Here is a 27,139-nt window from a genome sequence, read left to right as displayed (position 1 = left end):
GGTTGCTCTTTGAGATATGGCGTTGGAGACGGAAGAGATCCAAGAACTGAAAGGAGCCTTAGAAAACAACAATCATTCCCATGATTGCTAAGAATATCTTGTAACTTCTTTGCCGTAAATCCTTTCTGTAACATACAGAATAGGATTGAGTCTGACCACTTGCTATGTATGTCTATTTTGCAGAGGACAGAAAATGGGCTGCCTGATTCAGCTGACTGTAGTGCTCTTGCAGAGAGCTATATAGATGGTCTGTGGAATTAGCAGATCTTGGGGAAAGCCTGAGAGCAGAGAGATGTCACATCACCCTTCAGAGGAGAACCTAGTTGTACCAGTTGCTCTGTCATGGGCCCACTAGAGCAAAGAACCCAGGTCTTCCCTATTTTGATTTGCCCCTGCTAGAAAGGCTTGAACACAAGACACATTTGGAAGCTGAGTGAATTCACCTCAAAGACAGGCAAATACAATTTACAACCATTGAAAGGACTCAGCTAATTGAGGACAAGAAGCCCAGCTGAACAATTCAACAGATGTTTCCTATTGAGGCAGAACCAATGGAAGCAAGGAAAAGAATAAATGACATATACCTAGGTCTTCTAAATATAAATCTGTGTTCTTTTCATTTTGTAATTCTAATTTATCTTTTTTGGGGGGAACTTTGACATCATATTTTGACACATCTTTTTGATGTATTTTTTTCCAAATACTTTTTCACTGTATTGTACTGTATTACATTTTACAAGTTCATTTCTTCAGTTACTGACAATGGAAATAAAGTTTTTCATCATTTTCTCCTTTATTTTGTAAGTATTTATCAGCTAGAATGCTTCACTTAACATTCTTAACCCTTGTCTGCTCTCTCTCCCTCTTGCTTGGCTTTGCTAATTTTCTGTGTTAGATTCACTTTCCCCATCTGACAATTGTTGTTGCTTTATGTTGGTTAGAAAAAGTGGCGCAATAATTGTTTTTAAGGACTATCCTATTCTAATATGATTAAATATTCGGAAAGAATAGTATGAATAGTATGCAGGGTGTTTTTTTTTTCAATATTGAATTTGGGGGGAGCTGGAAACTGCAAGCCAAATAAAAGGATAATTTTTGTGAAGTGGCATTCATGGCAATATTGTATACTCTTTACAAAGAGCTTCAAGAAAGTTGCTATGACAGAGTAGCTTGTCAAAAATACAGCTAGAAGGAATAATCACAGCATTTTAATTTGGGGAAAAATATAGGAGAATTTCTAGGAGGGATTTTCTCATGAAGAAATATAGCAAATGTCCTTCTTTCTAAAACAAAAATGTAGAATTTAACACTTTAAAAATAAAACAAAAAGCAGCAGCCACTAAATAACTGGTATTATATTGTAAATAATTTAAATATTTTAAACCAACAAAAAGGATCAAAGTTGAATTGAGCATGCACTGATTCAGAGAGTATTAAAGAAGGCTTCGATCCTTGCGTACTATTTTATTGAAATGTTTCTTTAATTGTTGTTTACCATTACATTACATGAACAAGTGTAGGGATCTAGTCATCTACATGCACTTTAACTCCCCTGGATCAGAACTTTCCTCCACTGTCTCCCCAGAACCTACATTAGTGGCTGCTACTTATTTGCTCCTCAGAAATGCACTGACTACATAAAAGGACGATTTATTTAGCAAAACTCCTTCAGGAACTTAAAAACATCTAACAGGTTAAATGCATCCCTGTCTTGAATATATAAATTTTCCACGTCCAGAGGAAGGCCTAGAATTCCTAGGTTATTGGTAAAATATCACCCACGGGACCTATATCCTATCAACCTCTTTTATGCATAGAATGTGTACACTTTTCTCTCAGTGTTTCTTTATCATTATAGTTTCTTTGTTAAGAATTTGGGCCCAAGAGATCATACTGAGAACTATCAATTCTGTGTTAACAAAGAGTTCATTTTATATACTTTTAAATAAAGGTGGATAACTTGCTGAAGTATTAAATCAACGCCTATTTTGACTTTAAATGAAATAAAGCTCGTATATCATGTGTACAATAATTTGCCAAGAAAATTTATTGAAAAAAGTAGTTGTTTTGACTTTACCTAGACAAATGGAACTTGTTACTTTCAGAATTACAAGTCAAATCTGTCGTTTAATATTATCTAAACATTTATCTACTATCCTGAATTTAACCTGAAGAGTGATTGATTTTCTAGGGTAGGATGGATAAAAGCATAACACCAAGTACGTAAGTTTTTTGTTGCTCATTCACAATGTCTGAGGCCTTAAAACCTTGTGTGGCCAAAGTTAAATAAAATCAAATAAAACAAGATAGAAAATAAGCCTTTCCAATCTTCCTGCAAAATGTCTACATACTGTCTGTATTGGTACTATCTTATTCTCTGATGATGAGTAATGGGCAATGTGACCTTAGTAATGGGAAAATAAGATAAAACATTGTTTAGGTACAGACATTTACAGTCACTCACCATTTAAGATACAAAGCCAACAACATTTTGACTTTGTGATATCCAATCTTCCTTGATGAATAAGTTTTATAAAGCCTTTATACAAAACTTATGCAGAGCCATGCACCAAGCAGATGCTTAATAAATCTTAATTGACTGCTCTTTGACTACATTTTAATAATGCGTTTTTTCTGGTTCTGAGCCTGGGCTGATTAAAACTCACCCTGTGTTGGCTAAGAGATGTTATTTAATAGCATGTTCTGTTTTGCTAAATAACATCCACCACAGCGCTAGTTGTTTTCTGAAATAGCTTCCTACCCATTCCAACTTAGTTGCAAGTCTGATATTGTGCAGGACCCAACACTTCCCACACCTTCTTTACTATTCCGGTAAAAGCGCCCTAATCTGTTTGTAGGAGCTGAGAAAATTCCAGTTCTCTTTGTCATGGCCCAGAAAGGCTAAAGACTACATATCATTTCCCTACGTATCATTTCCGATGATTTCTGAAAGTCTTGGCATTGCCAGAGCTGAGTATATGTTCACATGTTACCAGTGGCTATAAACACAGTTTTAAATGTGCAGCACCAGCGTCCATTGTATCCTCAGAAGAAGGAATTTGGCAGGAAAATGGTCCCTCACTGCACCACCAGGTAGCCTGTCTACACCTGTCATTACCTGGCATCCATATGCAAGTGAAATAATCTTCCCAATTTGTATTTGGGCAAAATGCCATCATAACAGATGGACATGAGTGTACGTAACTGGGGAATTATGCATATACATTAAATATGCAGACTATGAGCTAAGTCCTTTGGAACATCCAAACATCTGTCTGCTCTGAGCTTTTGTGTATACTGTTTACACCATATGGTGTCACGATGGGAGGGCCTTGTCAGAGAGGCAAAAAGGAGCAGTCATGAATTTCATGGAAATTATTTCATAGGGGGAATTGGCCTTACCTTGGACAAAAGGAACATGTAAAATTATTGTGAATATCTTTGCTATTACTTCAAATAACAAGGTTTTAAAATTTATTTTGGTAGCAAAAAAGCGAATTATTTGGACATTACAGGAAAATAAATATAAAATCCAGATCAATTATAAAAAATATCTATGAGGCCAGGCACGGTGGCTCATACCTGTAATCCCAGCATTTTGGGAGGCTGAGACGGGCGGATCACTTGAGCTCAGGAGTGCGACACCAGCCTGGGCAACATGGCAAAACCCTGTCTGTACCAAAAATACAAAAAAATTAGCTGGGCATGGTGGCCTGCACCTGTGGTCCCAGCTACTCAGGAGACCAGGGTGGGAGAATCTCTTGAGCCTAGGAGGTGGAGTTTGTAGTGAGCTGAGATCATGCTCCTGCACTCCAGCCTGGGCAACAGAGAGAGACCCCATCTCAAAAAAAAAAAAAATCTATATATGATACGCATGTGCTATTTAAGCCCCAGTAGATTCTTTAAAGGTTCACTCTAATTTTAGTCTTTTCTGTCTGAAATCAAAGCCATAGATTAAACTAATCATCATTTTTAAAGCTACTTTATAATTCATCTTGTAAGAGGAATTTTCTTTGAGTGTGGATATTTTATTTACTGCAGGTATATGCCAAAACAGTAAAGCATTCTTTACTATTTGAAGTGTGGAATCCCGGTAATTTGTAATTCTATCTAACATACCATTAAGGTTTATCCCTAGATATAACTTACATTTTTTTGACAAGTGGAGCATTATCTTCATAATACGGGTAGGCCTAGGGATTATTTAAATTTTGTACTATTCTAGTTTTCCAGAAAAATGGAATACATATGTCAATTTTTCTTTTATTATGTATTGATTTTTTTTTTTTTTTTTTGAGACGGAATCTCACTCTTTTGCCCAGGCCAGACTGCAGTGGCGCTATCTCAGCTCACTGCAAGCTCCGCCTGCCGGGTTCATGCCATTCTCCTGCCTCAGCCTCCCAAGTAGCTGGAACTACAGGCGCTCACCACCACGCCCGGCTAATTTTTTGTATTTTTAGTAGAGACTGCGTTTCACCGTATTAGCCAGGATGGTCTCGATCTCCTGACCTTGTGATCTGCCCGCCTCGGCCTCCCAAAGTGCTGGGATTACAAGTATGAGCCACCACGCCCAGCCTATGTATTGATTTTTAATGACTGGAAATTAAATTTTCCACTAAAAATTAATTTTTCCATTCATTCTAAATTGCCATAGCTTTACCTTCCTTTGTCTCTTTTGTCCTTATTCACATACTTAGGTAAATATTTGTCTATCTCTAACTCTTTATCTCTCCAGGATGTTTTAATACTAAAGTAATAAAACAATACTAAAATAATATTATGTATGTATAAATTATCTCATTACCATTTATGAACTCATATTTTTACTTTTTAATGAATATCTATGTTAGCAAGTTGAGCATAAAATTTATAAATGCTATAAAACTATAACCACTCATTCATATGTGTTGTATGACTCCCAAATCTTAGAACTCAATACTATTCAAGTGAACTAATATGTAGTATATTTCTGATGATAATGTTTCCAAGCTAAACTTGGAATAATTTGTTTACTCAAATCTGTAAAGTTTTATATAACTGAAGCATCAGCAACACATGCAACAAATAAACATCAACAGGATGTTCTAGTTTCAGCTAGACTCCTGTACTAATGAATGAAGATTAATTCAAAGTTAGACTTAATGCTTAAGCAAGGACTGGAAAAAAGCACTATAATATAAAACTTTGAGGGTTTAGAAAATTGTATATGTTCTAAAAACAATGCACAAGAACAAAGGTACCAAGAACATACATTAGGGAAAAGACAGTCTCTTTAATAAATGTTGCTGGGAAAACTGGATAACCATATAAGGAAGAATGAATCTGGACTCCTGTCTCTAACCATATACAAAAATAAAATCAAAATAGATAGAAGACTTAAATGTAAGACCTCAAACTATGAAACTACTAAAAGAAAACATTGAGGAAACTGTCTATGACATCAGTTTGGGGAAAGATTTCTTGAGTAATACTTCAAAAAGCACAGGCAACTAAAACAAAAATGGATAAATGAGATCACAGAAAGCTAAAAGGCTTCTGCACAGCAAATGAAACAATCAACAAAGTGAAGAGACAATACACAGAATGGAAGAAAATATTTGCAAATTACCTATCTGATAAGGGATTAATAACCAGAATATATAAGGAGCTCAAACAACTCAATAGGAAAAAAGCAGATAATCTGAGTTTAAAATGGTCAAAAGATCTGAATAAGCATTTCTCAAAAGAAGACATACAAATTGTCAACAGGTATGTGAAAAAAATGCTCAACATTATTAATCATCGGAGAAATGCAAATCAAAACTGCAATGAGATATCAACTCACCCCAGTCAAAATGGCTTTTCTCCAAAAGACAAGCAATGCTGGCAAGGAATTGGAGAAAGGGAAACCCTCATACACTGTTTGGTGGGAATGTAAATTTGTACCAGCACTATGGAGAACAGTATGGAGGTTCCTCAAAACACTAAAAATAGAACTGCCATATGATCTAGCAGTTCCACTGTTAGGTATACATATCCAAAAGAAAAAAAAAAAAGCAAACTAGTATATCAAAGAGATATCTGCACGCCCATGTTTATCGCAGCACCCTTCTCAATAGCCAATGTTTGGAATCAGCCTAAGCATCCATCAGTGGATGAATGAAAAAAGAAAATGTGGTTGGTATACAGGATGGAATATTATTCTGCCATAAAAAGAATAAAATCCTGTCATTTGCAACAACGTAGATGGAAACTGTCGTCAGGTTAAGCAAAATAAGCCTGGCACAGAAATACAAATTTTACATGTCCTCACTCATATGTGAGAGCTAAAAATTAAAAAAATTGAACTCATGGAGATAGAGTAGAATGATGGTTACCAGAGACCAGGAAGAATAGTGGGAAGGAGGGGGGGAAGTTGGGATGGTTAATGGGTGCAAAAATATAGTTAGATAGAATGAGTAAGATCTAGTATTTGGTAGCACAATGAAGTGAATATAGTCAACGATAATTTATTGTATAATTTAAAATCACTAAAAGAGTGGAACTGGAATGTTCCTAACACAAAGAAATGACAGATGCTTGAGGTGATAGATACCCCAATTATCCTGATGTGATTATTACAAATCATATACCTATATCAAAACATCACATTTACTCTATAAAAATATATACATATTATATACCCATAATAATTGAAGATAAAAATTTTAATAGCAAAAATTATAATGCACAGAATATGTTCAGTCTAGACAGTATTTAAGAGTTCAGCTATCCCTAGATTTGGACGTTTTAAAAAATGTTTTCCGCCAGGCGCGGTGACTCACGCCTATATTCCCAGCACTTTGGGAGGCCGAGGCGGGTGGATCACCAGGTCAGGAGTTCAAGACCAGCCTGGCCAAGATGGTGGAACCCCGTCTCTACTAAAAATACAAAAATTACCCAGGCGTGGTGGTGGGCACCGGTAATCTCAAGAGGCTGAAGCAGGATAATCGCTTGAACCCGGGCCGCAGAGGTTGCAGTGAGCCGAGATCATGCCACTGCACTCCAGCCTGAGCGATAGAGTGAGACTCCATCTCAAAAAAAAAAAAAAAAAAAGAAAAGTTTTGTTCCATATTTTTTTTAAGCATTTAGGTGCCTCATTGCTATAAATAATGTGGCACATATGTTTTGATTGTCTAATCAGGAAAACCAGAATTTATTAAAAATCTGGGTAATTTAACATTTAATGATAAAGATATTGCAAATGATAAATCAACTATTTTCTGTGATATAAATTTGCATTAAAATTATGATTAGAAAAGTTCTGTCTCTATACATAATTTTACTGTTTTCTTACAGTCTTCATCCTTCAGTTATCACAAGTATGTGTAGTTGACACTCAAATATACTCCTTTAACCCAGATCTGAATTTCTAAGATAAGCCTGAAGGTCTCTCTGACATTTTAAACGTAAGGTTATTCGAATCAAATATGAATGCTCCACCTTCAATTTTTTTTTTTCATTCCTCTTTTTCTCTGGCTAATGAGTCATTATACGTCTAGCTATTTCTGCACCTAGAAACTTCATTTGTTTCTACCTTTCCCATTCATACCATATATTTTCTACTAGAGCACTCTTACGTGGCCTGTGATTGCCCATATTCTCTCTCTCTCATACCCTACTACACACATGAATGCACTAGTCTTTTCATTATTGCCACAATTTCTCTGTGTCAGCCAATTTGTTCCAATCTCTGGCTCAAAATATGGTTTGTGTTTGCCCATCTTCATGAGTCTTTGTTATTTTCTTATTAAGTAAAGTATTGAAAAAATTGGGCAACATACAATTTATTTTCTTAAAAATACTCATTGCTATCCTTTTTGGTCGTCAGTAATCAGTTTCATGTTTAACCATTCTCTAACCACTTTAAAGTAAAAGAGTAACAAGCAGTCCAATTTAATCATACATAGTATAAAGTATGTTGAATGGGATAGGCTCAACTATCATTATCATGAATGGATTTACCAAAGCTCTCAGCCTTGTGATCTTAGGAACTTGATTTTATCAGCAGCCTATATATTAGTTTGGGTCCTCCAAGAAGCAGATGTAATAATGGGATTGAACATATAAGAGTTATGTTAGGAAAATCTTCTTGTGACAAAAAAAGAAGGAGCCAAGGAAGGCTGGAGACCCCTCACCCTACAATGTCTGACCTCGAGGAAAGAGCGGTGGAATCCTTACGGATTGCCCTGGTGCAATGAAGTTATAAGGTAAGTTCAGCAGTGCTATTAAGGAATCCCCAGAGGCATAGTTAGAGGAATCCTGTGTGGCCAGGAATGGATCTGTGTTAGCATTTAACTACATTTGGTTATCAGCTGGGAGAAGCTTTTGGGTAGCATAGCCTTGGAAGCAATAGGATTTTAGAGCACAGCAACTGAAGTCTTTGGTCAATTACATCTGTAGTTGCTGGTCTGTATTCTCTTGGCCACCACAACTCTCACAGGTGATTTATTTCTCAAAGTATAGCCCTCTAGCTAAGCTCATAAGAAATTTGGTTACATTATATTAGTTGCTTTGCTTACACTACTAATTAACCTGCAGTGTCAAATATTCATATTAATAAGAATAAGAAATCCCCTCCATGTTAGTAGATTTCTGTCTAGGAGCTGAACTCCAATGCAGTTGAATTGGTGAGCATGGACTCTGAGCAAAGATTTAAATGGGCAATTCAAACTGTAGTGACACCAGATATGACATTCGGATATATTCACCTCCAACTAAGGCTACACCTGCTCCAAGAAACATTCAGATCACACATGGACCCAAGAACTCCCCCTCTAGGCAGGGCTGGAGAGAGGCTGCTGAAGTACGCTCCTGAAATATATCTCTCATGTACCATGCTGACTGGTCCCCTCTGTATTTGTTAGCTTTTGCACAAAACAAACCACCGCAATACTTACTAGCATAAAGCAGCGATTTATTATCTATTTCTCCAGATTCTGGGGTTGGCCAGGTGATTTTTCTGACTGCACCAGCTTGACTGGGACAGGATGGCTTAGGATATCTGGAGATTCAATCCTCACTGTTATGTTTGGGTGCTCGGACATGATGGCAGGGAGAGCAGGGATGACTGGAGCCTTTCTTCACGTTACCTCTCATCCTTCAGAAAGCTAGCCTAGCCTTCTTCACCAGGTGGCATAAGGGTTTCCAGTAAGAAGAAAAGGAGAGCTCCAATACACAAGCACTTTTCTAATCTCTGCTTCTTTTCATGATGTTTTAGCTAAGGCAAATCACATGGCAAATCTCAGAGTCAGTGTGGTGGAAACTATCTAAGGATATGGATGCAGGGAATCCTGAACAAATTGGCTTAGTCTGTGACACCATCTGATTAATATGTTGCTCTTCCTCTCTCTCTTCCCCAGCCTCCTTGACTTCATCCTTTTCCTCCTATTCCTCATTCTTCTTCTTCATCTTATTATTATAAAATGAATAAGATCATATCTACATTCTTATATTTTCTGATTCTGGTGTAAAAAATATTTATGCTCTAAGGTACACTTCTATATATGTTGAATTCAATTGCAATTTGTTAAAATGTTTATTCTAACCCTCAGTCTTGCCAACAATGACAATCCATCTCTTCCTACAACTCATAAGCACCCCGAGTATCCATGTGTTTTCCTCAGAGAAGAAGCTGCAAAGATCCCCTTTGAAACTGGAAAACATTACATTGCAAAATTATGGGATTAATGTTTCATTTTGATAGTACCTGGTCAGTTCACTCAGTAGTGGCAATTCATTATATTTCCTGATTCTAATAAAATAATAGACATGTTTATTCTTAAGTTTAGTTGTTTGAATGAGAAAATTATGAGGTAGAAATTGAATAATATATGGCTTGTTAGAAACTATAATTTTCTACTCTATGTCTCTTTTGTCAGCTAACTGTGTTGAGGCTATTATCACTATAATCAGGTGCTGAAGAATATAAACATGAAAGCAACATGCTAAAAATAAAATTAAGTGAAATGCTTTAGGGCTTTTTGCTTGTAATCAAGGCAGTTTCTAGAGCATGAGGTAAAGCTGTGCCAAAGAAATCCTTGTAGGCTGAATGCTTCCCTGCCATTTTCTAGACAGAGGTGTGTGGGTGACCCTACACAGTCTTCATCAATACCACACATATGCAGAGCTACGTTGACATCGTTTGGTGCAGATGATAATATTAATTTTTAGTCTCACTGCTAGGCCTCAAACATCATATCTGTTAGCCAAACCTCTACAAATATAGTGTTAACTCCTGGACCCCTCTCTTCACCACTAGAAGAGCCACTAGATTGATTTCACTTAAACTATGTTTCCAGAATAATAATTGATCAGATTGGCCATTTGGCACAAATAACCAGTTACTCAATTTTGTACTATTCAACCAGGGGTGTGTGAGAGTGTGTGTGTGTGTGTGTGTGTTGATTAGTAAAAAGAGAAACAGGTGATACTGGCACTTGTTTTTTGAAGGTAGCATTTACCTGTAATGATTCAGCTCCACTCTTGGGTCCTCTTGAATTGGCTGGTGTATTTCCACCCTGATAAAGGAAAAGTCCCTTTGACTTTGACTGAATCTCTGGTTGTTATTGTGAAATTTACCTTTTTCTCTGGCTCTCACTTTCCCTTAGCCTAATACTGGAACTCATAGAAAATTTGTTGTGTTTAAATATTTCACACTGCGGCCAGACACGATGGCTCATGCCTGTAATCCCAGCACTTTGGGAGGCCCAGGTGGGTGGATCATTTGAGACCAGGAGTTCGAGACCAGCCAACATGGCGAAACCCTGTCTCTACCAAAAATACAAAAATTAGCCGGGCATGGTGGTGTGCCTGTAATTCCAGTTACTCCAGAGGCTGAGATAGGAGAATTGCTTTAACCCGGGAAGCGGAGGCGGCAGTGAGCCAAGATCATGCCACTGTACTCCAGCGTGGGCGACAGAGACTGTGTCTCAAAAAAGTAAATAAATAAATAAATAATGAAAATAAATAAATAAATATTTCACATCAAACTGTTTAGTTGGATTCTGCAGCTGCTTGTTGTCTGAAGCAGGGACATACTATCATACTTCTTTATGGTTGTAATACATGCTCAGTATCTACTCTGAGCCCTTGGGATTGCTCTTTTTTGTTTATGCATCAGAAGCTATTTGAATATCATGTAGTCATCCATATTCTACACACATTCATTCAAATGAAGTTATTTTGTAGTAATCGTCATATTAACAATCATAACTTTAGCACATTCCAAGTTCTCATTTTATGTTGCTATCTTCCTTTTTCCAGCTAACACATCATGTGATATCTCAGCAAATCTAATGTGATGTCCTGCTGAGTACTTTCTTGATAAAAGAAGCAATTTCAATTTCTCTATATAAAAATAGGAATTTAAAGTATATACACTTTTTAATATCATTTTATATTTTTGCATATAAAGTTCCAGGAAACAAATGAAAAAAATTATTTCCTATTGCGTTTTGTTTTGTTTCTTTTTTTTTTTTTCCAACTCTGAGAACGGCATGTCCCATTTTTAACTCATCACATCATGTTTTTTCTCCAGGACTACAATGATGAAATTCGTCAGGAACAACTACGTGAATTATCTTACTTAAATGGCTCAGAGGACTCTGGTCGTGGCAGAGGTATTAGAGGCAGAGGGATCAGAATAGCTCCCACAGCTCCTTCAAGGTACATTCATTCTTACTTTAAATAAATTAAGGATGATGGCAGGCCTTTTTTGTCCTGCTTTATGTCATGATTATCACTAGCAGTAAACAACAACATCAGCCACAATCACTACCACCACAGCAAAAACAATAACGATGAAAGCTTATCAGGCACAGAAGAGCTTTACACATGTTAAGTCACCAAATCCTCCATACTAGGAGATAAATAGCATCTGCAGGTGAGAAATTGAAGTAGAGAAAGGTGTATGAAATTTACCTGGGGTCACGTAGACAGTCTGACTCCAGAATTCACATTTTATACTTTTAACAACTACCTCTAGAAAATAAGGCAGCAAACCAGAGATTTTCTACTTTACTGTTCTATCCTCAGGATTAGAACACACGCATGATACAACTATTCACCTCTTCAAACCAAGATACCCTTGTATGAAGAGAAAACTATAAACTTTTTCTGTGCTTTAAATGGTTCTTGAATTGATATAGTCTTCCCAGATAAGGAAGTAGATAGATAGAGATACAGAGATAGATACAGATAACATATATGCCATCAGCCCAGAAAGCCAGAACACTTCTTGCATGGCTGATGGTAAGGATATTTAAAGTTCAGAGGGTATTTGTAGCTCTTCTTGGTGATCAGAGAGGATTTTATTTGATTTTGCTTACTTTGCAAAGAAATTGCTATCTTTTTGTATTAGAATTTGTTTTGCAGGATTCTGAATTGTTCAAGCTTTTAATAGAAGGCATTGGTTTGAAAAGAGTTAATATAAAAAATACTCATAGCCTTCAGAGAACAACTATGTGATTTAATCATTCTCTTCATCTTGTTATAATTGGCTTTTAAATCTCTAAAGGACAGAGATCTAAATATTATTTCATATATTACATAAAATTATCTTAAGATATGCTAAGATACTTTTCAGATTCAGTTTGTTTACTTAAATTATACCTCAAATACTTTCAACCACCACTATCAACATAGCCACTGTTTGTAACACTTAAATCAAAAATATCTCAAAATGTTTCTCACCGGTCAGAAAAAAAAGTTAAGAAAGATAAATTCTCAAATAAAATATCAAGGAATATTATTTACTAGAGGTAAAATGGGGTAATTCTGGAAATTCTATTTCACTAAAAGCAAAACTTCTGAATGTGTTCTAGAGCTTATTTATATTTTATCTTTAAAAAATCAAAAATAAGCTCTCTAATGCTGTTCAAGATCATTTGTTTATGCTAAGAATTAATGTGACATAATACAATACTGTACTTTTTTATGGGTTGTTTTGTAAAACCGTGTACATTTCTAATCTCATCTTGATGAGGTAAAAAAGACATCATTGCTAGTCATCTTTAATGGATTTAATCATAAGTTGAATCATATGAAATTGCAACTTTTGTAGTTCAACAAATGCCAATTTTACAGCTTTATGTGGTTGAACGTAAGTATAAATTTAGGATGCCTAGAGAGGGCACACACTTTTCTATTTTGTATGCCTTAAAATGCGGGGGGGGGGCATTAAAACAATGAATTTATCTGCATTTGATTTTATGAAATCATCATAGTAATAGATTTTGCTTTGTTATGGATATCCGTTAGTAGAATTTTGCATCTGGCATTTTTGAGTGGACCATATAAGATTTTAATTTCAGAGAAACCTTATTCTAAGATTTTAATCCATTTAAATAATTGAAAACAGGATAGTGCTTTATGGCCTGGATTTTAATATATCTTCTTAGAAGAAAAATTTGATTGAAAGATTTCACTATTTAATCCCATATAACATACAGATCTGATACTATATACATAAAAAGAAAAGAAAATTAGCATTAAAAATTAAATTTCACTTCCAATGCTGTACTGATATCATTAGTGGTGCTAGCATTAACGAAAGGAAATGAAACAGAATTTTGTTGTCTTCTGTTTCAAACAATATGTTGAACTGTATCTACAATTTAAAATGAATAAGAGATATTCTTTTCCTTTTAAATTTCAAGAGAAATATCTCTGATACAATATAAAGTATGGAATATGTAAATAGGAACATTATTACATTGTAGAAATACTCTTATTACTAGAATGCTAACCTTAATTTGGGAAAGAATGTTTAAGGTCTTTGCTCTTGTTTTGTTTTCTTTTGTTTTTGGACATCTAGTAAGAAGTTATGTTTTCTCCCTTACAAATCAATGTTATAAAAGAAAATAATAACTGAAAGTAAAAAGGGATTTATGAACATTTTATGTTAGTTTGGTTTGTCACAACTAATTGATCATTCCCTCTACAAATATTGATTTCATGCATATCAAGTGTCTGCATTCATTAATTACCCAATAATTTTCAATCAAGAAAAGAGTTAGATATTGTTTCACATAATTCCATTTCATCTCAATTTTTTCACCTCCCTATTGCTCCTAAATACCTCCCTTAAAAGTATTAAGTAAGTATGATAGTTGGTATATGTGTTGACCTTGTGCATTTTTTAATAAGTAAATTCTTATCGATTGAACCCTTTTGTGCATGAAAGTATAGTAGAATGAATAAGCAGAAAAGCTCTAGAAAGAGAATGCCTGGGTTCTAAATCCTAGTTCTCCCACTTACTAGATGTTATTATATTTCATCAATTTAAGGATTCATGTTTTTCACATTTTGACATCTCAAAGTGATTGTCTTCTTGACATACATGGCATAGTCATAATTTAACTCAGTGTTTTCTCTCATAGTGTTAAGATAAAATAATTGTGTATCTCATAATGAATGAGATAAACAATAAGTTAAAATGTTGACCTTGGATATGTTATGTAATTATATGTTACAATTTAATTAATACAATAATCACTTAGAGACTTACAATAAAACATTAAATGTATTACATGTAAAGACATTTACAACTGTATCGGATATTTAGTAAGTGCTCGATACTATATATTTGTTATTGCTTGAAAATTAAAGATTGGTCATACCAAATGCCCACAAAAAAAAAGAAAATAGCTTTACAAAATAGAAAATCTTATTAATAAGAGAACTTTGCATAACATGAGTTAACAATTCCTAATTTGAATTGTTATGAAATTATTACTTTATGAAGTTATTTAATTACACTTATATTCAAAAAGATGATGTCTAGAATATTTTAAGCTCTATAATTTGTTGAAAGTGTATTTAATTAAAACAATTTACATTTCAATAATCCTATCTATGATAACTCTAATTTTCCAATAATAATGTATACCAGAGAACAAAGCATTACATCTATATATTGTAATAATAATTTATTTTGCATAATTGATGAATGAAAATATATGACATCTCTAACACACATCACCACTATATGTTGCAGTGAGTGCAGTCACTGAAAAACGAAACATCGGGGTAAATTTTGAAGGCTTTTGTTTACCACGTTGAGAACGAATACATAGAACTAATAGAGTTTGTTAAAGAGGAGAGTAGTCATATTTGTTTATGCGAAAGACTACTCAATTATCACTGTGGTTGATGCAGAAGAGTTACAGTGATTGAGAGAGAGAGAGAGAGAGAGAGACAGAGACAGAGAAACCGTCTTATGGCAGGGGAGCCAATGAGAAAACAATTCCATCATCCAAGGCAGATAAAAATGAGCAGCATTTGGAATAGACAGGGATAGGGCCAGATTAGAGATTAACATTTATATGAATTAATGCCAATTAAACGTTGGAGAAGAAGAGTTCCCCAAGAGAAAGATAAATTTTTGGTGTCTAGCCTGGTGAGAAATTGATGATATCATTAACTAAGAGTAGGTGAAGGATCAAATTAAATGAAGAATATAATTATTCTTGTAAATAATCTGAGCTCTGTGGATTGCTGGTGTGACCTTGGGCAGGTGACTTGTTCTCTCCATGCCTTAATATCTCAATGTATTTTTAAAAAACTTAGAACTGCCCACATGACAAGCTTGTCAAGATGCTTAAATTGGAGTATTCATTTAAGGCAGTGGTTCCCAAATTGGCCTGTATTTTGGAATCACTGGGAGCTCCCTGTCTCCAGAGATTGTGGTTTAATTGGCCTAGGGTATGGCCTGGAATTTGGAATTTTCAAAAGATCCTCAAGTAACTTTAACATGCAGGCAAGTTAAGAAACTTCTGATATAAGGAACACAAGCCAAGATATGGCATTATGTTAGGAAGAAAACAGATTATAGCCATCATCAGAGGTAGGGATTGCAGGGTGCAACCATGAGATCGAGGATAGAAACTGGGGACATCCAGATTCCAAAGTGGGTCCAGGAATACAAGCCAGTGAAGGAGGATAACGAATAAGGAGGAATGAGGAAAAGTAGAGAAAAGCAGAGTCATAAAAGTCCAAAGAAACATTTTCCAGATAATAGTCCACAATCTTAAAAATAGTAGAAAGGTGCTGTGGCATGGAGACTGTAAAGAAATCTAGTGGATTTGGAAATCAGTAGGCTACTGGTGATCTCAGCCAAGAGCATTTTCAACAGAGGGGTGAAAGCAAGAACTAGACTGATAACATTCAGTTCAGGAATGTAGAGGAAGTAAAGAATTAAACAGAAAATATTCTTTCAGCAAGTCAGACAAATAAACGACAGGATACTGTGGTGTGGTTTTAGCCAGGGGCAGTATCCTAAAAAAAGTGATTTGAATTAAATTGGAGGAGAGAACAATGAGGTTAATATTCCAGGGAAAGAACATAGTGGATAAGAGGTAATGAGTCAGGTTCAGGAGGCAGGTTTGCTAGGGCTGTGTCTGGTAGTCAGTTGATGAAGGAAGAAAATGGAAAATTAGATTTGATATGAGCATCATATAATATTAGAGCAGAAGGAAGTACTATAAATTTAGAAATCTGCATTTTACTCATTAGAAAAAAAAATATCTATCTTAAGCCTAGGTAGTTATAATACTTACCCATGACTATTCAAGGGTATAGCGAAGGCTCGTGAATAGAGTAGGGTGACCATATAATTTATTGCCCACACATGGATATTTTTGAGAGTGTTAAAATGCTAAACTGAACAGGAAGCTAGGACAACAGTTATAAAACCTGGACATATGCTCATCTTGCTTATGAGGAAACAGAAATGTGCTTGGAGGAGCAGTGAAGGCAAAATTGGTTTTTACATCCCTTTATGTATTATCATGGTAATACAGAATACTGTATTCTTAGCCATGTTGTACTTGCAGCCAGCACTGGGCCTCTGGGTCTTTGTGTTTCACCTTCTCCCAATCTAGGAGAGTATTCTTTATACATTAGACTCACAATAAATTCTCTCATCATTTCTCTATTCATCAGCTCTGTAATCTATTTAAAAATTTTAAAGGTTTTGCCAGCATTCGTACCCTTCACTTATAAATGCTCACTTTTATTTTAAGCAAGAAAGAGCCATCTGACTGCTATTCATAGCAGACAGCATAACCTATGTCCCCATATGTGCCTACAGCCAAATACTGTGATTGTTGACATCTCAATGATCATCATTTTTTTCCCCAAAGCTTTAGTGTTCCCACTGAAAGCAGTGCTATCTAGAGGCCAACCTTTCAGACAAAATAAAAAGTGAAATAACTGTTCTTTTGCCCAAAGACTTCAGACAAACACTCAACCATTCTAAAGGCTTCAAAATGCCATAAAAATTGGCCACAACCATTTGATCTTACACTTTTAGTGCAAGTCAATTTTGTATCAAGAACTGCAATACAGAGTATTCAGTCTGTTATTTTTATTACAGATACTAAAGTATTCCTCTAACACCATAGTTATGGTTAAGAAAATATATTCTGTCAGGGACTGCACCAGTTCAGGGGGTTACAGGCATGATGATAAATCAGTGACAAAGAGTTGTGATTTCAAGTAATCTCAAACTTAAGCAGCTATAGTAAACAGAATGATATCACTATGGTTAGATTCCCACATTTTATTTAAGTGCAGCCACCTTTTTTTTTGGTAAATGACAGCATTGTCCATCACTATCTGTAATCCCCAGCATAAAGGAGATGCAGACATCTGAAACCGCTCAGTTTCAGAGATGGTCCAGTGAGTCATATATCAGACGATGCTCTGATTTGTGTCTTCTTCGAGAATTTGGAATTTAATGGGGTTATATTCAGAGTGGGTTTTTGTTTGGGTTTTTTTTTTTTTTCTGGCTTTGGGTTTTTAGTTATATAAAAGACAATAACAAAGTATTTTACATGGTTTTTATAAGAACTAATCATAGTCAGTGTTTACAATTATTGTCTTCTATAGATATCAACACACTTTATATCTTATATAATTTCTATTAAATGCATACACACACACACACACAGAGAGAGAGAGAGAAATTTGTATTTATTTCATTGTATGGAGGCTGTGAGATGAAAACTTTTTCTGTGATAGGCCCTTTTCTCTCATCACCTGTTTCTCATCTATACATGACTTGTTTCTCTTAGGGGCCGTGGGGGTGCCATTCCTCCTCCCCCACCACCTGGACGAGGTGTTCTCACCCCTCGGGGAAGCACTGTAACCCGTGGAGCGCTTCCAGTGCCACCTGTAGCAAGAGGTGTCCCTACCCCTCGAGCCCGGGGGGCACCAACAGTGCCAGGATACAGGGCACCTCCTCCTCCAGCCCATGAAGCTTATGAAGAATATGTAAGTACTCTTAAGAAATAAGTTGTAAGGATGAGTTAAATTGATTAGTTAACAAGCTACGTCTCAAACTGTTCATATACCGTGAATATAGCAGGTAATGTTTGTTGCAGAAACGAATGTCATTTACAACAGAATTTAAGCAGTGCATTTAAATGAGAGCATTTTGAGAAAAGGTTTCATTTTACAGGTGTCATCACTGTTAGTGCTAGTTAAAGAGCTTGTATTTTAAGAACCAAACTTATCCTTAGGAAGTTTGATCAGATTTCAAATGAGAAATAATTATAAACAAAAGGTGAATTGCCATGTATTCAGAGATTTCTGGAACTTGACAAAGATTAGCATAAAACTCAGAAATATTTAACAAATATAATATGATTATATTATAAACTTTGGGAGTATTGTAAGACCGTGTGGCTGGTCTTTCATTTATATATCCTGACTCTTTCTTTCACCATATTAAAGATGTGGATTGGCATAAAAAATTCAAAAAAATATACAATGAATAGACAAAATGCAGTGTTTCCAAGCATCCCCCTCCCTTCCTATCTACTGTATCTTTTGGTCATCTTATGTATCTAAACATCTTTTAACCTTTAGTTCTGATTGTCAGTATTCCACTAATTACATTGTGGTCCTTGTGTCCATTTCTCCGACTAGATTGTGAAATATGTAAAAAGGGAAAATTTACTAATAGTGTAACAATAGGAAGTCTTCTGTAAATGTTTTTTTTTTTATTATTATACTTTAAGTTTTAGGGTACATGTGCACAACGTGCAGGTTTGTTACATATGTTTACATATGCCATGTTGGTGTGCTGCACCCATTAACTCATCATTTACATTAGGTATATCTCCTAATGCTATCCCTCCCCGCTCCCCTCACCCCACAACAGGCCCCAGTGTGTGATGTTCCCCTTCCTGTGTCCATGTGTTCCCATTGTTCAATTCCCACCTATGAGTGAGAACATGCGGTGTTTGGTTTTTTGTCTTTGCGATAGTTTGCTGAGAATGATGGTTTCCAGCTTCATCCATGTCCCTACAAAGGACATGAACTCATCATTTTTTATGGCTGCATAGTATTCCATGGTGTATATGTGCCACGTTTTCTTAATCCAGTCTATCATTGTTGGACATTTGGGTTGGTTCCAAGTCTTTGCTATTGTGAATAGTGTCGCAATAAACATACGTGTGCATGTGTCTTTATAGCAGCATACTTTATAACCCTTTGGGTATATACCCAGTAATGGGATGGCTGGGTCAAATGGTATTTCTAGTTCTAGATCCCTGAGGAATGGCCACACCAACTTCCACAATGGTTGAACTAGTTTACAGTCGCACCAACAGTGTAAAAGTGTTCCTACTTCTCCACATCCTCTCCAGCACCTGTTGTTTCCTGACTTTTTAATGATTGCCATTCTAACTGGTGTGAGATGGTATCTCATTGTGGTTTTGATTTGCGTTTCCTTGATGGCCAATGATGATGAGCATTTTTTCATGTGTCTTTTGGCTGCATAAATGTCTTCTTTTGAGAAGTGTCTGTTCATATCCTTTGCCCACTTGTTGATGGGGTTGTTTTTTTCTTGTAAATTTGTTGGAGTTCATTGTAGATTCTGGATATTAGCCCTTAGTCAGATGAGTAGGTTGTGAAAATTTTCTCCCATTCTGTCAGTTGCCTGTTCACTCTGATGGTAGTTTCTTTTGCTGTGCAGAAGCTCTTTAGTTTAATTAGGTCCCATTTGTCAATTTTGGCTTTTGTTGCCATTGCTTTTGGTGTTTTAGACATGAAGTCCTTGCCCATGCCTATGTCCTGAATGGTAATGCCTAGGTTTTCTTCTAGGGTTTTTATGGTATTAGGTCTAACATTTAAGTCTTTAATCCATCTCGAATTAATTTTTGTATAAGGTGTAAGGAAGGGATCCAGTTTCAGCTTTCTACATATGGCTAGCGAGTTTTCCCAGCACCATTTATTAAATAGGGAATCCTTTCCCCATTGCTTGTTTTTCTCAGGTTTGTCAAAGATCAGATAGTTGTAGATATGTGGCATTATTTCTTAGGACTCTGTTCTGTTCCATTGGTCTGTATCTCTGTTTTGGTACCAGTACCATGCTGTTTTGGTTACTGTAGCCTTGTAGTATAGTTTGAAGTCAGGTAGCATGATGCATCCAGCTTTGTTCTTTTGGCTTAGGATTGACTTGGCAATGCAGGCTCTTTTTTGGTTCCATATGAACTTTAAAGTAGTTTTTTCCAATTCTGTGAATAAAGTCATTGGTAGCTTGATGGGGATGGCATTGAATCTATAAATTACCTTGGACAGTATGGCCATTTTCATGATATTGAGTCTTCCTACCCATGAGCATGGAATGTTCTTCCATTTGTTTGTATCCTCTTTTATTTCATTGAGCAGTGGTTTGTAGTTCTCCTTGAAGAGGTCCTTCACATCCCTTGTAAGTTGGATTCCTAGGTATTTTATTCTCTTTGAAGCAATTGTGAATGGGAGTTCACTCATGATTTGGCTCTCTGTTTGTCTGTTATTGGTGTATACGAATGCTTGTGATTTTTGCACATTGATTTTGTATCTTGAGACTTTGCTGAAGTTGCTTATTAGCTTAAGGAGATTTTGGACTGAGACAATGGGGTTTTCTAGATATACAATCATGTCATCTGCAAACAGGGACAATTTGACTTCCTTTTTTCATGATTGAATACCCTTTATTTCCTTCTCCTTCCTGACTGCCCTGGCCAGAACTTCCAACACTATGTTGAATAGGAGTGGTGAGAGAGGGCATCCCTGTCTTGTGCCAGTTTTCAAAGGGAATACTTCCAGTTTTTGCCCATTCAGTATGATATTGGCTGTGGTTTTGTCATAGACAGGTCTTATTATTTTGAGATATATCCCATCAATACCTAATTTATTGAGAGTTTTTAGCGTAAAGTGTTGTTGAATTTTGTCACAGGCCTTTTCTGCAACTATTGAGATAATCATGTGGTTTTTGTCGTTGGTTCTGTTTATATGCTGGGTTATGTTTATTGATTTGCTTATGTTGAACCAGTCTTGCATCCCAAAAACAGTCCAGGACCAGACAGATTCACAGCCGAATTTTACCAGAGGTACAAGGAGGAGCTGGTACCATTCCTTCTGAAACTATTCCAGTCAGTAGAAAAAGAGGGAATCCTTCCTAACTCATTTTATGAGGCCAGCATCATCCTGATACCAAAGCCTGGCAGAGACACAACAAAAAAAGAGAATTTTAGACCAATATCCCTGATGAACATCGATGCAAAAATCCTCAGTAAAATACTGGCAAATGGAATCCAGCAGCACATCAAAAAGCTTATCCACCATGGTCTTCTGTAAATATTAAATTTAACTGATGCAAGCCAGATCATTGTACTATGAAAATGATTTATTTTGCCTTTAACCTCTCCAGCATGTCCATCTCCTGATCTAGGTATTTGTTTCATTCAACTATCCATAAACATGCTGTCCTCTTCAATGTCTTATGTAAATTATTGCTCATTTAAATGTAAACTCTTCAAATATAGTTACTGTCACATACTGGGCACTCAAAACATATGGACTGGTTAATAATCAAAATTTAACTATAAAATAAAGTAAACATAGTTTATAGCTAATCCTAAGAGTATATTAATTTTTAGCATGTATTCCTTTTAGGAATAATGTTACTAAGTGTAAAAATCCACTTCTACTTGAACAGGTGAAATGTGTTCATCTAAGTATCTTCACTACATCAACTATCAATATTTAAAACCTTAGACAATCTTAAAATTGCAAAACCAGAAACAGAAATCATATTCTACTCTGCAAACAAACCCACAAGGTTCAAAAAAAACTCAGGGACTAGCCCTGGTTCTGCCATTTCTTGCCAGAGACATAGTATGTGAAAAATAAGGACTTGTTTAAATGAATTAAAAATCCACAACAAGGGTGGTAGGATCACTTTTTATCTTTGGGGAACTGTGTAGCTCAACAATCTTTATGTACGTTGTCACTATGGTGTTTTTGTCCTCCAAATAGAGGCTTAAACAGATCAGTTTTTAAAAATTAAGAAGAGAGAAAAACTTTTCAGGTAATAGTAGTTAGCATTGTTATTAATAGAAGAATTTACTCAGCATGTTTGGGACTGTGAAAGAGAAGACTGGCAAAACAATTGTAGCCTCTCGTGTGTTCCAATTTATAGTGAATACATCAGTAGAATATGAGTCAAGAGTAATCAACAAAAGCATAAAGAGTTTATGGAAATGTGGGTGAAAAGGGTTATATTCTAAATGGGAAAATTTAAGAGGTGAGTATGTTCCTTAGAAAAGATAACAGAAAATAGTAAAATATTAAATATTAGGTAATCTGAAATTATTATTTAGATTTTAAAGTACCCACTTGCTTTTATTTATTCAATCAGTCACTCACTGAGCCTCCATCTTATTTTAGGTGTGTTCTGAAGGTCCTGGAGACATATCTGTGAACAAATCAAACCAAATGTCTGCTTTCATAAAGCTTATATTTTAGTGGGAAGAGACAGAAAATAAACATATGTAAACAAATGAATAAAAATTAATGAGGTAGAGATAAGTGCTCCGGAGAGAGGTGAGGAGAGTCCACTTCCAGAAAATGGGCAGTTAGGGAAGGTCTCTCTGAAGTGGAGACGTTTGAGCAAATGCTTAAATGAATTGAGGGTCTTGGCCAATTGGCTGCTTCTGTAAACAATATCCCTGGTAGAGGAAACTGCAAGCATAAATGCCCTGAAGTGGAACCTGTTTGAAATATTTGGGGATCAGCAAGGAGGACATTAAAGCTGGAGCAGAATGTGTGAGGGAGAGGTAGCAAATAACATTGGGGCAGTGGACAGGCCAATTCATGGTGCTGTTGGAGCGTGCAGAGGAGGAAAGTGGCATGATTAGATTTATGTTTTGAAAGGTTTAATCTGCCTACATCATGGATAATAGAACATGCGGGTGGAGGTAGGCACAAAAGTGGAAACAAGGAGACTGTTAACTGGTTGCATTGCCCCCCCACCCACCCCATGACAGGATGATGGAGGGGATGAGAGGAGGTTCAATTCTAAGTGTACTGCAAAAATCATCTGTTAAGATTTGATGATGGAAAATACGTGGATGTGTGAAAGAGAGAGGAGTAAAGGAATGTGTTTATGAAGTAAAGGTGATTAGACTGAACGACTGGGTTAAATTGAGACACTGTTTGTTGAAATGAATATATCACGAGGGAAGTTGAAGGTTCAGTTTGAGATTCCTGAGTGTCACTGGGTGGACAGGATGTGGCACTTCAAAACAGACAGCAGCACCTCAAGGTCTGAATTCTAACTGTGACACTACCTGTGTAATTTTACAAACACTTTGAGGTTTGGATCTCTTCTATATAATGGGAATAATCGTTTCAGCCTCTCAAGACTCTATTGAAGATTAAAAATAAATATTCATAAGCACTTATAAGCATGCATAAATACCTAGAATATTGTTGTTAATAAAAGGTAACTATTACATAAAATTTTATCATATATAATATTCCTTAATTTTTGCTTGTGATAAGTTATGGACCCTTTGAAGTCATAGATATTAATAATCTATTTTTTGTGAGTTACTTAGGCATTATTGATTGCAAAAAGCAGAAGCACTTTGAACTTCATTTAGTAAAATTTTTAAAAAGCTGGCTCTGGGGGAAGTGTCATATGAATATAGGTTCATAAAATCCTGCCATAGGAATGCCAGGAATGCTATCTGGGCTTAAGAAAGGTCTGTACCAGCCGGGCCCGGTGGCTCATGCCTGCAATCCCAGAACTTTGGGAGGCCGGGGTGGGTGGATCACGAAGTCAGGAGATTGAGACCATCCTGGTTAACACGGTGAAACCCCATCTCTACTAAAAATGCGAAAAGTTAGCTGGGCATGGTGGCGGGCGCCTGTAGTTCCAGCTACTCGGGAGGCTGAGGCAGGAGAATCACTTGAACCCGGGAGGCGGAGCTTGCAGGGAACCGAGATCGCGCCACTGCACTCCAGCCTGGGTGACAGAGAGAGACTCGTCTCAAAAAAAAAAAAAAAAAAAGGAATTAGAAAACTATAAGGAATCTCTCTTCCTATCTCATCTCTGTTTTCTCTGCATATGTGTTTCCTTTCCGTTTTATCTACATACTGGATATTTTTTTGGCTTCTCTGAAAATGTGACTTACATATAGTACAATACCTCCACCCAGGGCTGCCATGTTTTTATGTTCAGCTCTAGTCACCAACAGATACTAGCCTCTCAGTTCTGTGCCATATCCCCAGGTGGGAAAATGGCATTCAGCCAGGGTTGTCAGGTGTCTAGCACTAATCGGTCACCTCTAACCATAGGGAAGAAGTCAACTGAAATTAGGTCTGGGATCTACCACTCATCAGCCACCAATGGCAAAGGTAGAGGAGGGGAGAAGTTTGCACAATATAAACATAGTTATTGGGGACCCAGCCCCAAGGACAATATGGGGAGACACTAATTTTTAGAGAGGAAAATGTATTATGAGCTTGGCAGACATCCCAAAACGTATCTAGGAGAACATACTATTGATAATAGTAAAAAGTATATAGATATATTTTTGAAAAACTGTTAATAGCATATTTTATGAAAACCTGTCTTGTATTATATTTTCATTATTTTTGTTTCTAAAAACAATTTAATGAGTAAGGTTTAATACGTGACTGATAGGCTGCTGGCTGCAATCTTTGAAATCCTTAGTGCCCAACCCAGATTAGCACTCAAGAGCTGCTACTCTCTGCTCTAATTTTAGACTATTGATTCCTCTGCAAGGGGTAAGAAAAACAAAAGTTTAAGTGTTTCAATAACAAAATAATAGCACCATGTTGAGTTGATGGTGAAAATCTCAAAGGAGTTCTTAACTTTCAGATAAAATTTCTTAGTAAAGCTTCCTTTTATTATAAATCCCTCTATGAGTCAATTCACTCTTCAGACTTCTTTCTCCCCTGCTGAGCCTCAGCATTAAATTTCTGACCACATGGAATGTATTTAAGTAATCAAATCCACTCCTTGCAGCTGGCCTGACAAGAAACAGCTTACTGTAATTGAGAATGCTGTTTAAACCCATCATTAGTGTTAGCTGAGTCTTAAAAAATTTTGAATTTTAGTTTGTTACACATCGTAACCCAGACTTTAAATATTTTAAAGCTTTTTTTCATTGACCTTCTGCTAAGACGAGTAAATTTACATTTTACAGATCCATCTTCATGATTGAAGTAGATTTGGAAAATCAAAAATAATATTTCAACAAAAACTCCCATAGGACAAAATATTAAGCATTATCAGCTCTACCAGTGGATAATATGTTAAAAGAGAATAAATTAAAACTAACACTTTTGAATACCTCCTAGGTTCCAGTCACTGTGTATTAACTCACTTAATCTCAGGATAATACTATCAACTAGTTTTAGATTTTACTATTTTAGTAGGTAAAGAAACTGAAGCTTGAAACTGAGAATTGCATCCACTTTTCTGTCTCTACAAATTCTCTATCTGATACATTGTGTTTCCTCTCGGTAAAGAACCATAAGGTATCCTGTAGAGTACTTATCTCACAAAGAACTCACACAGTTTCACACAGATCATTTGTACTTCATACTCCCATCTAGACCACTAGCCAGTGTTTTAGTCCCCTCAGCAATACTTAGGACATCTCCCAGTATTTATACCTGCATGAAGACCTCCAACTACAGAGAACTCAATACCTCCAGAAACTAAGTGCTGGAAATATAAAAACTGTAGTTAAAGAGAAACTATCTCTACTCTAAAAAGGATGCCATCTAGTGGGAGAGATAGCATTAGTCCAACAATTAACATATATGTATTTGCTATATAGGGCTCTTATCTTACTCTACCCTCTATTAGAAGTCATTTGCTGTTATCTCACTTACAAGATTTTATACATCCTAAAGGCAGTGTTTCTTAAATTTGCTTTATCTTTTCAGTTCTAAGTAAAGTGCTTTGAATTGAACCTACTTATGATATTTGGGGGAAAAGGTTATACATATGCACACGAACACATATATAAACATATATATAATGACAGTAGAACACAGCATATAATAAGTACCAAATAGAAACTATGCATGCTCCAGGAAAGGGAATTATCACAGATGGCTATATGGCTGTTTTAGAAAACCTCTAAGAGGGTAAGAAAAACGACTGCAAGGAGACCAGGATAATAGTTATAACATTTAGAAGCAGAGAGAAGAGGGAGAAAACTCCATGCAGAAGGGATGGTAAAAGCAAAGACAAGAAAAGGAAACTTTCAAAGCAAGTCTAAAGAATCTGGAAGAACAATTTGGTGAAATATAGTTTAAGATAGCAGGGAAATAATGGAGAGAAAAGTAGAGAAGAGTTACGTATACCCTCAAGGCTGAGGTTGTAACTTCACTTATAATAAAATGCCACCTGAAGATTTCACAGCAGAAGGCAACCTGAGGTTTTGGGGAATTTTATAATTCTCAGTTGTCTAGGGTGGATTAAAGAAGAGGATGAAGGAAGAAGATTTAGGGAATTAACAATAGTGAGACTGACTGAGATGTGGCCCTAGCTATGACAACAGGGATGGTATTGGAGGTATTCAGGCCAAAGGTAAAGCTGAAGGTAAAAACAATAGGGTTTGATGGCAAATGCATTTGGGAGGAGTAAGAAAAAGCAAGCAGGCCTCACTCAAAGTTATGTTTGTACACAGGAATGGGTAAAGGAAGAGGCACAGGAAGGAAGGCCATAGTGGGGAGGGGTGGACAGTGAAGGAGTGACTTTGATGCTAAAGAAGCTCCCTCCATGGCTGTGGGAGGGGATTAT

At 36.1% G+C, this 27,139-nt stretch overlaps 1 protein-coding gene across 7 annotated transcripts in view; it reads left to right on the top strand.

Annotated features, from left to right (window-relative positions):
• Positions 1-27,139, top strand: part of KHDRBS2 (KH RNA binding domain containing, signal transduction associated 2) — a 743,556-nt gene that overhangs the window by 373,297 nt on the left and 343,120 nt on the right. For all 7 annotated transcript variants that reach the window (NR_146870.2, NR_146873.3, NR_146874.3 and 4 more), the window contains exons 5-6: positions 11,558-11,685; positions 18,096-18,294. Coding sequence is in view for 2 of the 7 variants with exons in the window: in NM_152688.4 (NP_689901.2) it covers positions 11,558-11,685; positions 18,096-18,294 (327 nt within the window). In the remaining 5 variants the exon portion in view is untranslated. The remainder of the gene's footprint in view (positions 1-11,557; positions 11,686-18,095; positions 18,295-27,139) is intronic.

The sequence above is a fragment of the Homo sapiens genome, chromosome 6 (assembly GCF_000001405.40).
Source record: "Homo sapiens chromosome 6, GRCh38.p14 Primary Assembly".
Taxonomy (NCBI): domain Eukaryota; kingdom Metazoa; phylum Chordata; class Mammalia; order Primates; family Hominidae; genus Homo; species Homo sapiens.
The sequence above is the reverse complement of the archived record's forward strand: the minus strand, read 5'-3'. Positions and strand labels throughout refer to the sequence as shown.